Consider the following 12,216-nt stretch of genomic DNA (forward strand, 5'->3'; position numbering starts at 1 on the left):
AGTAAGGTGGTATTGCATTGTGGTTTTAATTTGCATTTCCCTGATCATTAGTGATGTTGAGCATTTTTTCATATGTTTGTTGGCCATTTGTATACCTTCTTTTTAAAATTTTCTATTCATGTCCTTAGCCCACTTTTTGATGGGATTATTTGTTTTTTTCTTGCTGATTTGTTTGAGTTCCTTGTACATTCTGGATAGTAGTACTGTGTCAGATACATAGTTTGCAAATATTTTCTCCCGCTTTGACAACACATGCATCTCTTGATTTCCATTTCTTTTCAAGAAAATAGTGACTTGCTTATGAAAGGCATATACCAATCATAAACTGAGCTGGAACTCTCAGCGGGGTCTTTATCCTCCCTGCCCTGGTTCTTGACACTCCCCTCCCTGCTGTGGCTATAAAGCTTCAGGCCCAGGGAGTAGCCGGTGTGTCTCTTATGCCAATTCCTCTTATGTGACTCTTTCAGCAATTTAACCTTTCTTTTTCTATTTTCTTAAAGCATTAAATGGAGACCTATAAATGTTACTTCATGGATAGCTGCAAAGATTAAATGAATTTATATTGGAAAGTTGTTTAAAACAGCCCAGCTGGTAACAAGAACTGTGTAAGTATGACCAATTGTTTCTGTTTGGTCCATTGATCTACTTATTCTGTCTCCACATCCATGTGGGGTATAGTCATCAGAATTACTAAGACTTTATAATAAGTGCCATCTAGTTAGACAGAAATGTTCCTCTTCATGATTGTCTTGTTAGTCTTGGTGTTTTAATGCTTTCATAATATTTGCTCCTACCTATTTTACTAATTAATATATGCAGAAACTCACAACTCACACAGTACAGATCACATAAAATATCATCTTCATCCTTCCCACCCTATTTCCCCGAAGGTTATGACATGCACCTGTTGAGTATATATGTTCTCCAGGTCTCTTTCTCTCTCTATATATCTACATATCTATATACATATATATAGATATCTATATAGATATCTATATAGATATATAGATATCTCTCTATATAGATATCTATATATATCTCTATATCTCTATATAGATCTCTATATATCTCTCTATCTCTATATAGATCTCTATATATCTCTATATGTATATATGGAGATACATAGATAGATAGATAGATAGATAGATACATACATACATACATACATACATATATATTTTAGAGACAGAGTTTCACTCTTGTTGCCCAGGCTGGAGTGCAGTGGCACAATCTCAGCTCACTGCAACCTCCTCCTCCCAGGTTCAAGCAATTCTCCTGCCTCAGCCTCCCGAGTAGCTGGGATTACAGGCACCCATCACCAGACCCAGCTAATTTTTTGTATTTTTAGTAGAGATGGGGTTTCATATTTATTTAAAAATAACTTACTTTTAAATAAATTAAGCAACAGCAAGTTTTTCCAGACAGGAATACCAATTTCTCCTTAGGATCTTTAATGCCAAGGATGTAAAACTAATGGATGTGGGGAGATTTTTAGCTAAGAAATGAAAGGTTTTATTCTGGATCTTGGCCTTTACACATTGCAATTATTTTGCTGAAGTTCATTCATGTATTAATCGCGATGAGTACTGAGACCCTATCTTGTGTAAAGGTAAGTATGGAAAAGTACTCATCCTTGAGTCTTCTGGGCTGGTGGGCACGGCCGACACTTAAGTGAATAACTGATGTATAAAACACTAAGTGTGATCACAGATATAGGTCCAGGGGCTGCGGAACAGGAGCCGGAGCCATGGAGAGGAGCAAAGGAGATGACAGGAGGAAGCGCAGGCTTGGAAAATCCTTGGTAGAGAGCACAGATTTAGAGGAGAAGGCAGACCAGGAGTTCCCCCACTAAAGGGCATCCTAAACAGAAGGAAGGAGACAAAGGCAGACAGAGGACCATGGAAGGCCATGACGGTGCCTGAAAGCAGTCACGATCCCAGCGTCACAGACCAGAGTCAGGGCTGTCAGAGAGGCCGCCCAGGGCACGAAGGAACGTGCTCGCTGCACAGAGCGACTTTACATTTAAATTCTTTCTTTTGGGCAATTAAGGGACCACAGAGGACATGAGGCTGAGGTGCAGCTACTCCAGGGTCCCTGAACCTGCAGATATGGGCCCGAGATGGCAGCAAAACGGGGAGCAGGAGGACCCACGGGAGGGTGGATGAACCCTGGATTCTGCAAAGTCACAGTCGTCATGTCTCACAGTTGCTGGCAGGGACTGCGTGAGCGTGTGGGTCCCCCGGCTCTCTCTGTGCCAGACAACCATACACGTGGGAAGAGCCATCACTTACCACTCTGCAAACCACATTAAGTGAGGGCCTGTGGCTTCCGACAGTTGCTTTCCTTCATGTTGCTCTGATGGAACCACCAGGGACATCAAGCCCAAGCCCTTGGGCTCATTAGCATGGTGCTGGGACAAGTCCCCCAAACAAACGGGCACAGGTTCCAGGCTATTTTTATTTCCATCCGACTCAGCACAGCCTAATAACCCTTGGTGTGCAATGAAAAACACCACACTTGCGTGCAAGAGCCTATTGATGTCCTGTAATATCAGGGTAGGCAGCTACCTGCTCTCTTCCAGTGCTTACTGTTGGGCTGGAAGAATGATACTGGAAACAGTGAGCCAACTCTGTGATGTAAGCCTCTCAGCAGGGAGATCTGTGCAATTCATGCATTACAAATGCACAATCAGGGAGCTTTCTCATGACAAAAAGGAATCAAATCCTGTCTATTATTGAGAAGTCCTCCTTTAGGTGAGCAGCAAAGCGCAGGCGGCTTTGCAAAGCAGCAGCATGCTGTTAGCAAGGTCTGGAGGGCCACACCTCTGGAAAGGATGTTTGTCATGATACAAACATATAAACTAACACCATGGATAAGCAATTGATTCTTCAAAGAAGAGCCTTTCTCATGAAAATCCTGAAATAATATATGGAGTTTAGGGGGAATGAACAGAACTGCAAGTGGATATAAGCTCTTCCATCTTGCCAGTTTTCCCTTATGTAATAATTTCCTTCTATTGACATAAGGAATAATGTTTCATAGCCTACTGCTTTTCCTCCCCAAGCCTCATTGCACTTTTGCAATGCCAGGAAACTCTAATCAGTACACTCTACCCTCTGGTGTCCACACTCAAAAAGCACATCACCCTGTTTTTTTCCCTCCAACATTAGCATGTGTACCAGGCACGTGGATGAAAATTATTAGCTACTAGGGGGATTGTATTTGTTTGCTTAAAACTGTTGATTTTTCTGTTTTCAAGGGATCGAGATTTTAGACTAATTTAACTAGCTGCATTTTTCCCTTGTATCACACAGGGAAGTTGAAGAAAGACGAAAGCCCCCTCTCTTTTCCCCAGCAGTAAGACAACGGTGTCCTCTTTTACTCTCATTTGAAGACATCCTAGAACATAACTTATGTGAAGGCTTAGTATAAAATATGGGCACAAACAGGATCCAACGTAATAAAATGTTTTTAGCGGAGGAAAATGATATCTGGCATTTGTTTCAAATCATAGTGGTAGTGAAATGGATGAAACGAGATTGCCGAAGCCTTGATAATTATACAGCTGGGTCATGGGTACAACCGGCTTATTGCCTAATTCCCTCCACTTTTCCGTATGTTTGGAAATTTCCAGGAATCAAGTTTTTCCCCATCTTAGTCTGATGCAGACTGAGCTACTATGTCTGAAGGATAAAGATGTGACATTCTAACATGTGAACCAGGGCAGTGGAAGGAATACAGCTTTAGAAATCAGAAACACGTAAATTCTCACCCTGCTTCGAACTCTCGCTGACTGCGAGGCCTTCGGAGGGTCACTCCATCTCTCTTCATCTAAGCTAGTTTCCATATTTGTAAAATGAGAATAATGAAACCTCCCACACAAGGTTATTCCGGGGATAAAGAAAGGGAAAATGCCTGGCACACAGAAGGCAAATGACGTAGCTTCCCTTTCTCCTTTTTCCAGCAGCCCTCAGATAAATAAATCCCAATGGTCAAAAAAATACAACCAGTATGAATAACTCATTAGGAATAACCCTGGCAAACCCTGATTGAGACATTTTGTTTGCTCTATTTCAGTCTTTCATGGTGAAATTCATCATAACATCATTCCACCTTTATCAGCAAAAAACAAATAAAATAGCATGCATGCACATACATGATAAGCCACTATTTTATACTATATGTTGTCTTGATTGGTTTTATATTCAAGCGTTCCTGCTCAATAGCACTGATGTATCTCAGGCCTCTATTATTTCAAAGAGGATGGATTAAAGGCAATATGAAAGAACAGCTATTAATGCCATACTATCTTTATATAATACAGTTCATCTGGCAATTTCCAGAGTTTGGCCCATGGGTAATTCACTTATTGGGAATGGTTTGAGTGAACACTACAAATACAGTTTCCCATACCTTCAATTAACCAAATGATGTGAAGAATTATCTGTGCTAATTTAAATTTTCTGTTAAACTAAGCATTAAACAGAGGGCTGTCTTTGTTTATAGTGGATTTTAATGAAGGAAACTGACTTAGCTATTTTCCTTAAGAATTTTGCATGACCTCATTAATTAATTATGTCATTCAGGAAAAAAAATCTTAGAGAAGCAAATATAGAAGTTGATGGAAAATTTGACAGCATGTATATTAGAGGCAAGCCTTTTGCCAATTAGCATGTCATCTAACTGATCACATAAAACACTTAAAATTTGTCAGGACCTTTTAAAAATGAACAAAAATGTCATAAAATAATAGATGTATCACAACTATCTTCTGAGAAATAAATGCATTTATTTGTCTCACTTTTTAAAGGAGAAAATCAAACCGAGGCTTAAGGTTTTCTTCCATATAATTAATTTGTGACCGAGCCAGGATTCAGAGCCAGGTGGTCTGACTGCCTAAGAAGCTCTTTCTGCCACTCACACCCTGCCAATCTCTGTACACAGTGAACGACACAGTCCACAATTACCTGATACCTCGGTATGGGGCTCTAGGGAAACTTTCTTCTCTTTTGCTGCCTTACCTAAATTCCTGATAGTACACAGTGAACGGCACAGTCCACAATTACCTGATACCTCGGTGTGGGGATCATTGCATATGAGAAACTGTTTTGTTTTGTTTTGAGACGGAGTCTCGCTCTATTGCCCAGACTGGAGTGCAGTGGCACAATCTCGGCTCACTGCAAACTCCGCCTCCCGGGTTCACGCCATTCTCCTGCCTCAGCCTCCCGAGTAGCTGGGACTACAGGCGCCCACCATCACACCCGGCTAATTTTTCGCATTTTTAGTAGAGACGGGGTTTCACTGTGTTAGCCAAGATGGCCTGAAATCTCCTAACCTCGTGATCCGCCCGCCTCGGCCTCCCAAAGTGCTGGGATTAGGGACGTGAGCCACTGCGCACGGCCCCATAGTTCTTTTTTTAAGTTGTCCAAATAATTGGGCATTTTGCAAAGCTACCTTTAAGAAGATGCCACTTGAAGGAGGAATAAACACTGACTTGATTAATTCATCTAACTCTATCAGACACAGGAACACTGATTTGTTATTAAATGAAGTATCATCAAAAGAAGATAAATAACCAATGGTCCATGGCAACCTAGCTCTCAGTCAGGTTTAAATTTTTGAAAAAACAAAATACTGTGCTTAATTCCAAATAAGAATAAAAAATATAAATAATGGGCCAAAGACTTTTAAAACTATAATTTGAACATTCTCGAAAATTATACTTTATTTTCAGACTCTGGAGTCCACAGTTTAACTCTTGAAAAGTAGTCACTAGAGCATGCTTGTATCAAAACATCTTATGTACCCCATAAATATATACTAGGTGCCCAAAAAATAAAAAAATTAAAAACTTTAATAAAAAGAAAAATAGCCACCAGAAAACACTCTTCATTGAATTAGTCCTCTTAATTGATTTTTTGACTTTTATATTTTATTTCTAAGTCGATATGTTTTAAAAATAATGATTATGCAGGCTTTCCATTCAGAATATGGAAATCATCTGGAATTTGGTTTTAGGGGACTCTCTCTTGACCCAGCCGTGCCCTTCACTATTTTACAGTCCAATTATCTTCCTCCCACGGGGGCTGGAGCCCTGTGCATTACTTATGGGACAGGCTCTTAGATGTGTGGCATTGACATCTTTGTGGCTGGGTTTTTATCTGTCTCATAAAAGAGGTGTGTGCATGCCTGTGTCTGTGTCTGTGTCTGTGTGCATTTGTGTAAGTGCACGGGAGATCAAACCTCAATGTAATTTGACAATTCTCATAGGTTAATTTCCAATCATCAGACTTTAAAGCAGTGAATTAAGCCTCTGGTGGCCCAGTTTACTAAATTTCCAACAGTCAACATCTAGTCTCCAAGTGTCCTTCAGACCTAAGACCCGCCCGGCGCCGAGGCTGATCCCGTGGGCACCTGTTTGTGGGCTTAGCGGCATCTCTGCTTCTGGCCTTTATCCCCCCACCTGACACTCAGCAGCTGCTGTCTGGGAAGAGGAGGGCCTGTGCAGCAGCCCGGAAGAAACCCCCACACTCATCCCCCTGTGCTACGTGCCTCGGGTTCGTGTTAATCCGACTTTGGTCACCTCAGCCTCAACCACACCTGTGCTCCTGCCAAAGCCACCCTCCCTGCAGACACCAGCTGCCCTCCAATGCCGGGGCCACTGGGCCCTTTCCCAATTCAGGTTACTTGTCTGCTATGAGCCTGCCTTTTCTGCTTTCTTAGAGGTAGCTTTCTCCTGGATTCTAACAGCATCTTCTTCCCATCCTTTTTTCCAGGCCTTCCCTGAGGCCAGAAGCCTGTAAACATGGGAGTCACCCAGCTTGTTCTCCAGCCCTCTCCTCTTATTACACTGCCCATTGCTTCTGGGTAATCTCTCAATTCTTATTACTCCAAGAATCAACAATAGAATAATAACCTCAAAATACAAACACCTCCACCACAGGATTGCTGTGTCAAGCCGATGCCTCCTCCCACAGTGGCCTGTGTTCAGCACAAATGTTGACACCCCTAAGGGCATCCTGCAGCTGCCCCTTCCCTGCTAACCTCTCCTTCCCCAACTAAGCCATCGCCAAATTCTGTTCGTTTCATTCAACTTCAAACGAGTCTCTTGCCAGGCACGGTGGCTCATGCCTGTAATCCCAGTACTTTGGGAGACCGAGGTGGGAGGACTGCTTGAGCCCAGGAGTTTGAGACCAGGCTGGGCAACATAGGAAGACTCAATCTTTATCAAAAACAAAAAAAAAAAAAACAAACAAAAAAAAACCATGAGTGGGTGTGGTGGCATGCACTTGACAGGCTGAGGCAGGAAGATCGCTTGAGCCCAGGAGTTCGAGGTTGCAGTGAGCTATGATCATACCACTACACTGCAGCCTGGGTGGCAGAGCCAGACCTCACTGCAACCAATAAAACAAACAAACAAAAACTCTTACACTGCTCTCCTTCTTTCCAGCAACATTACTGCTTTTTGGAAAATACCGAAATGGAAGCAGAAAAACAGAAATCTCATGTGTCTGCTTCCAATTTTCAAATGACTCCCCATGACCTTAAAAAAAGTCATCTGAGGCCTAAGCCCCATGGTGCCCTGCCCATCTCCGAGGGTCATTCTGAATGGCTTTGCCCCACATGCACGAGTCTCCAGGCCCACATACCTCCCTGAATACTCTGAGCTCTCCCTGATGCTGCTGCTTCTCTGATAACCATGGGGTTGTTGCCTCCACCTGAGATAGCTTTCTCCTCCTTCTCAAGGTTATCTCCCATTAACTCTTCAAGAATCATCCTAATCATCGAATCTCCCAGAAAACTCTCCCTGACACCCTTGAAGCTGAATGAAGTGTCCCTCCTCTCGCTCCCATGGGCTCCTTTGCATTTTCTCAGATAACAATAAGATAAGGTGATGTGTTTGACTTGAAGGCAAGGACTGCTTTATTTATGCAGTACCATGTATTGAAGCCCTAGTACTTGTGAAACGATTAATATATAGGTTTAAAAAAACTAATCAATGTGTCTTCCTATTAGTTATTGGATATAAATTTCTTACCATGTGCCTCCAGCCCTGTGCTGCCCAATATGGTAGCCACTAGCCCCATGTGGCTGGCTATTTAAATTTAAAATAGATGAAGGTTAAATAAAATTTAAAATTGAGTTCCTCAATCTCACAGGCCTCATTCCAAGCACTCAACAGCCATATGGGGCAAGTGGCTATTGGATTGGATGGTATAGATAGACAGCCTTTCTGTCACCAGAGAGTGCTAACCAACTGCACTATTCTAGACTCTTCATGGGACAGACACAGCTCATTTATTTGCTCACATGCCTGTCTCTCCCCAGACTGACACTCAAAAGCATTTCTGTATCCCATGGTGTCAGCCTTGCATCAGGCCATGGTTGGTATCGAGTAAAAGTTTGTTATAGATGAATGAATAAAATCTTTATTGTACAATATCCACTATGATTTATCTTCCCTGTTCAGGAAGGTGACCTTGCCCTTCTACATGAGACTCTCACTTTCTTCGCTCCTACTCTTGTCTCTGCCAAACTCTAGCACCCTTGAAGGTCCTGCTCAGGAGCCCCTTCCCACACACCCCTCCCACCACTTAAGCTGCCTCACTCACTCCATTCGCAATGGCAGTTTCCCATGTGAATGCCTGCAGGGCTGACCGCTGCATGCCCCTCAGCTTGGTGGGTGTTCTTCGTGGCATAGAGCACATGCGTGTTAACCTGGCTCCAGGGCACAACAGCAGAGGGCTCTGTTCAGTAGGGACAAGTCCATTTAATTGCAATGTGGCATCATTGTAAAAAAATCTGAGGCTGGGCACAGTGACTCACACCTGTAATCCCAACACTTTGGGAGGCCAAGGCAGGCAGATCACCTGAGGCCAGGAGTTCAACACCAGCCTGGCCAACATAGTGAAACCCCATCTCTACTAAGAATACAAAAATTAGCCAGGCATGCTAGTGTGTGCCTGTAATCCCAGCTACTCAGGAGGCTGAGGCAGGAGAATCACTTGAACCCGAGAGGCAGAGGTTACAGTGAGCTGAGATTGTATCACTGCACTCCAGCCTGGGTAACAGAGAGAGACTCTGTCCCAAATTTAAAAAAAAAAAGTAAAAAAAAAAAAACAAATCTGAACCTAGCCGTGGCTGATATTTCAGTAGTCACAGAAGTGTGAAGGTGAGGCTTAGAAGAATGTGAGGGTCTCCAACAGGAAAAATTACGGGTATTCTGGGCCTGCTTAAGGCCAGTGGGATACCAAGGCGGCTTCTTAGGAGGATAAAACAACTCACCTCCTGAAGCCCTCATGCAGGCCAGTCAGAAGACATCCTTGGCCCCCAGGAACTTGCCCCATTCCCTGAGGAAAACCCAGTCCCTGAGTAAAACCTGAGTCCAACTCAGGGCCTCTATGCCACTGATGTCGGTGGAACACAGGACTCAGGCTTCTCCAAGGAGCTCTAGGGGCTGAGTGACAGGCAGGTGTATTTATACCATTGGCCTGGTCCTAATTTGTGCCTTTTGCCATTATACCTTGATGGACAATTTGCTTACAATTTCTGCTCTCGGGGGTGGGGGTACTAGGACCATGGTGTAACTGCTTACGTAGTGGTATTCAGTAGGGCCTGGCCTGTGCACCCGGCCAGTGAGGACAGCAAAGAGGACAGAGCTCCACTTCACTGCTGGTTGTGTTTTCCTTGGGCCCTTCCTGTTTTGTTCTTACTGGGGGGAATGTTGGAATGGAATGTGGGCACTCAGGCTGTATTGTTTTCACCCTGTATGGCAGCCAGTGATGGGAGGTGTCCCTGCTTGCTCCCAGGGCCCTCTAAGAGTGATGGGAGGTGTCCCTGCTTGCTCCCAGGGCCCTCACAGCCTTGCCCCTTCTTCCGGTCTATTTCATCTCTGCCTTGTTGGAGCTGGTTTAAGTGGCAGTGATGTCTGTCCTTGCAGCTGCTGCTCATCACAAGCAGCTATGATTACAGGTAAGATAGTGACGATGGTGAGGATGGTGTGTCATGATAATGCTATGGAAATTCAGATGCAGGAACAGTCACCCATTTAGGGAGTTGAGACAGGTAGATGAGGTTGCTGCTTTGGAGGTGACAGCATTAGAATGGGACCTGAAAGGAGGGGTGCATTTTGAGAGGAAGCTCTTGTAAGGAAAAGGCATTTGAGGATGAGACGCTGCAAGGTCTGCAGAACCACTTTGTCCTAATGGAGATTCCCTCCCTGGCCAGTCCTGTTCCTGTCTGTGCAACGTGCTTGCGGTGCAGGCCCTGACAACACAACTGACTCCAAGTGGCTGGGCCATGTGACCAGTGCTGGATCAACCAGAAACCCTGAATGAGATTTCACATGTAGACCCTGGGAGAGAGCATGCCTCTGTCTTCCTCTCTCGTTAGGAAGTGTAAAACTTCATGAGCTTAGAGCAGAAACTACCTTTGCTATCTGCTTGAGATTAACACCCACAGAGGAAAGTAAATCTGAGAGTTAGGGAGACAGACAGAAAGAGTTTTGGGAATATCATGTCAGCACCACATCCCAGATAAGAGTGAAGTCCCACAGCCTCTGGTCTTCAGTTCTAAAGAACAATAGGTTACTTTAGTAGAGGTAGTGGTTTGCTATACAATTTGTGCCTTTTTTTTTCTCTGTAGGTCGTCGTGGAATGTGTCTATCACTGAGAGCTGAAAGAAAACTGACCAAGACAAGTTCAATGGCCATGAAATGAACCATGAGCAAATGTCCAGAGGTGGGAAGGCATGGGGTGGATTCCGGGCACTTGACGCTGCCCAGCTTGCTGATGTGCAAAAGGTCTGCTGGAGACTCACAGAAGAGCGTAGCAGGGAAGAGCTCTGGTCAGATGGCAGGACGGGCCAGTGCAATGATTGCGAGGGCCCCAACAATCAAGACCAGGAGGTTCTGCTGTGTGGTGAGCACATTGTCAGCCTGAACGGGGAGTGGGACAGAGGTGTATGGGGGTACAGGGTAGATGAGTGTCCCCTCCCTGCAGCAGGGCTCTGTTTGTCCTACCATTGAACAACTCGGTGGGTTTTCCCCACTCTGATCAGCCCAGGACTCTGCTTGCTAGCTGGGTTGCAAAAGCTCCTGGACCCTTTTCTTCTCAAACCAATTATCTCTTCCTGGGCTTTGCGTTTGCTCTAGGGCTCTTCTCATTCTTGGATGCTCTAGCTGTGCTCTGTCCCTGGAGGCTTCCCGAGACTCATGAGTATCAGCTCCTGACATGATTCTCCTTCACTGTCTTTTTTATTAGGGTTTCATGCAGACTCTCATGCACCTGCCGTCGGAAGATTTGAACTTTCTTCTAGGACACCTAATATCCACAGTACTCCAGGTGGGTCCTAAGGATCTGAGGATCCACAATGGGGGTCCTAAGCCAGGGGTGGAAGAGGGGCTGGCTCTCAGTCCCCGCCTCGCAGGAGGTGCCTCCCCCCGCTGCAATGGGGGTCCTAAGAGCCAGAGGGGGAAAAGGGAGTGGCTCTCAGTCCCTGCCTCGCGGGGGGTGCCTCCCCCACTTGCGATGGGGGTACTAACAACCAGGGGCGGAAGAGGGGATAGCTCTCAGTCCCCACCCTCGTGGGGGGTGCTTCCACCTCCTGCGATGGGGGTCCTCAGAGCCAGGGGGGGAAGAGGGACTGGCTCTCAGTCCCTGCCTCGTGGGGGGTGCCTCCGCCCCCAGCGATGGGGATCCTAAGAGCAAAGGGGGGAAGAGGGGCTCGCTCTCAGTCCCCGCGTCGCGAGGGGTGCCTCCCCCCCTGCGATGGGGGTGCAAAGAGCGAGGGGGGGAAGGGGGACGTTCGCAGTCCCCGCCTCGGGGGGATTGCCTGCCCCCCTGCGATGGTGGTCCCAAGAGCCAGGGGGGGAAGAGGGGTTGGCTCTGAGTCCCCGCCTCGCGGGGGGTGCCTCCCACCCCGCGATGCAGGTCCCAACAACCGGGGGGAAGAGGGGATGGATCTCAGCCATCACAAAATAGGGGGCCTTTATGTTCAGGTTTTGCCCAAGAATCAGCTTATTTGCTTCTTTTACTAGCAGGGCAGTTGCTGCCAAGGCCCTCAAATAGGGGGGCCATCCTTTAGCAACTAAAAACCTAGTTGTTTAGAGACGTAGGCTACCGGCCTCAGCCAGGGCCCCACAGTTTGGGTTAAAAGTCCAGCTGCCATCTTTTCTCTCTCTGACGCATACAATGGAAAAGGCTTTGTCAGATCGGG

General features: G+C 45.5%; 1 protein-coding gene across 21 annotated transcripts in view, besides 2 other annotated features; it reads right to left on the reverse strand.

Moving 5' to 3' along the window:
• ACTR3C (actin related protein 3C) overlaps positions 1 to 12,216 on the reverse strand; it is a 442,186-nt gene that overhangs the window by 140,809 nt on the left and 289,161 nt on the right. The window lies entirely within an intron of this gene.
• Positions 2,434 to 2,958: an enhancer, noted in NCBI's record as "NANOG hESC enhancer chr7:149721691-149722215 (GRCh37/hg19 assembly coordinates)". NCBI's record gives its function as "activates a minimal SCP1, AML or CMV promoter by ChIP-STARR-seq in primed H9 embryonic stem cells {active_cell/tissue: H9 hESC(primed)}" and the evidence as "EXISTENCE:reporter gene assay evidence [ECO:0000049][PMID:30033119]".
• Positions 9,517 to 10,018: an enhancer, noted in NCBI's record as "NANOG hESC enhancer chr7:149728774-149729275 (GRCh37/hg19 assembly coordinates)". NCBI's record gives its function as "activates a minimal SCP1, AML or CMV promoter by ChIP-STARR-seq in primed H9 embryonic stem cells {active_cell/tissue: H9 hESC(primed)}" and the evidence as "EXISTENCE:reporter gene assay evidence [ECO:0000049][PMID:30033119]".

This window comes from Homo sapiens, chromosome 7, assembly GCF_000001405.40.
Source record: "Homo sapiens chromosome 7, GRCh38.p14 Primary Assembly".
In the NCBI taxonomy this organism is placed as follows: domain Eukaryota; kingdom Metazoa; phylum Chordata; class Mammalia; order Primates; family Hominidae; genus Homo; species Homo sapiens.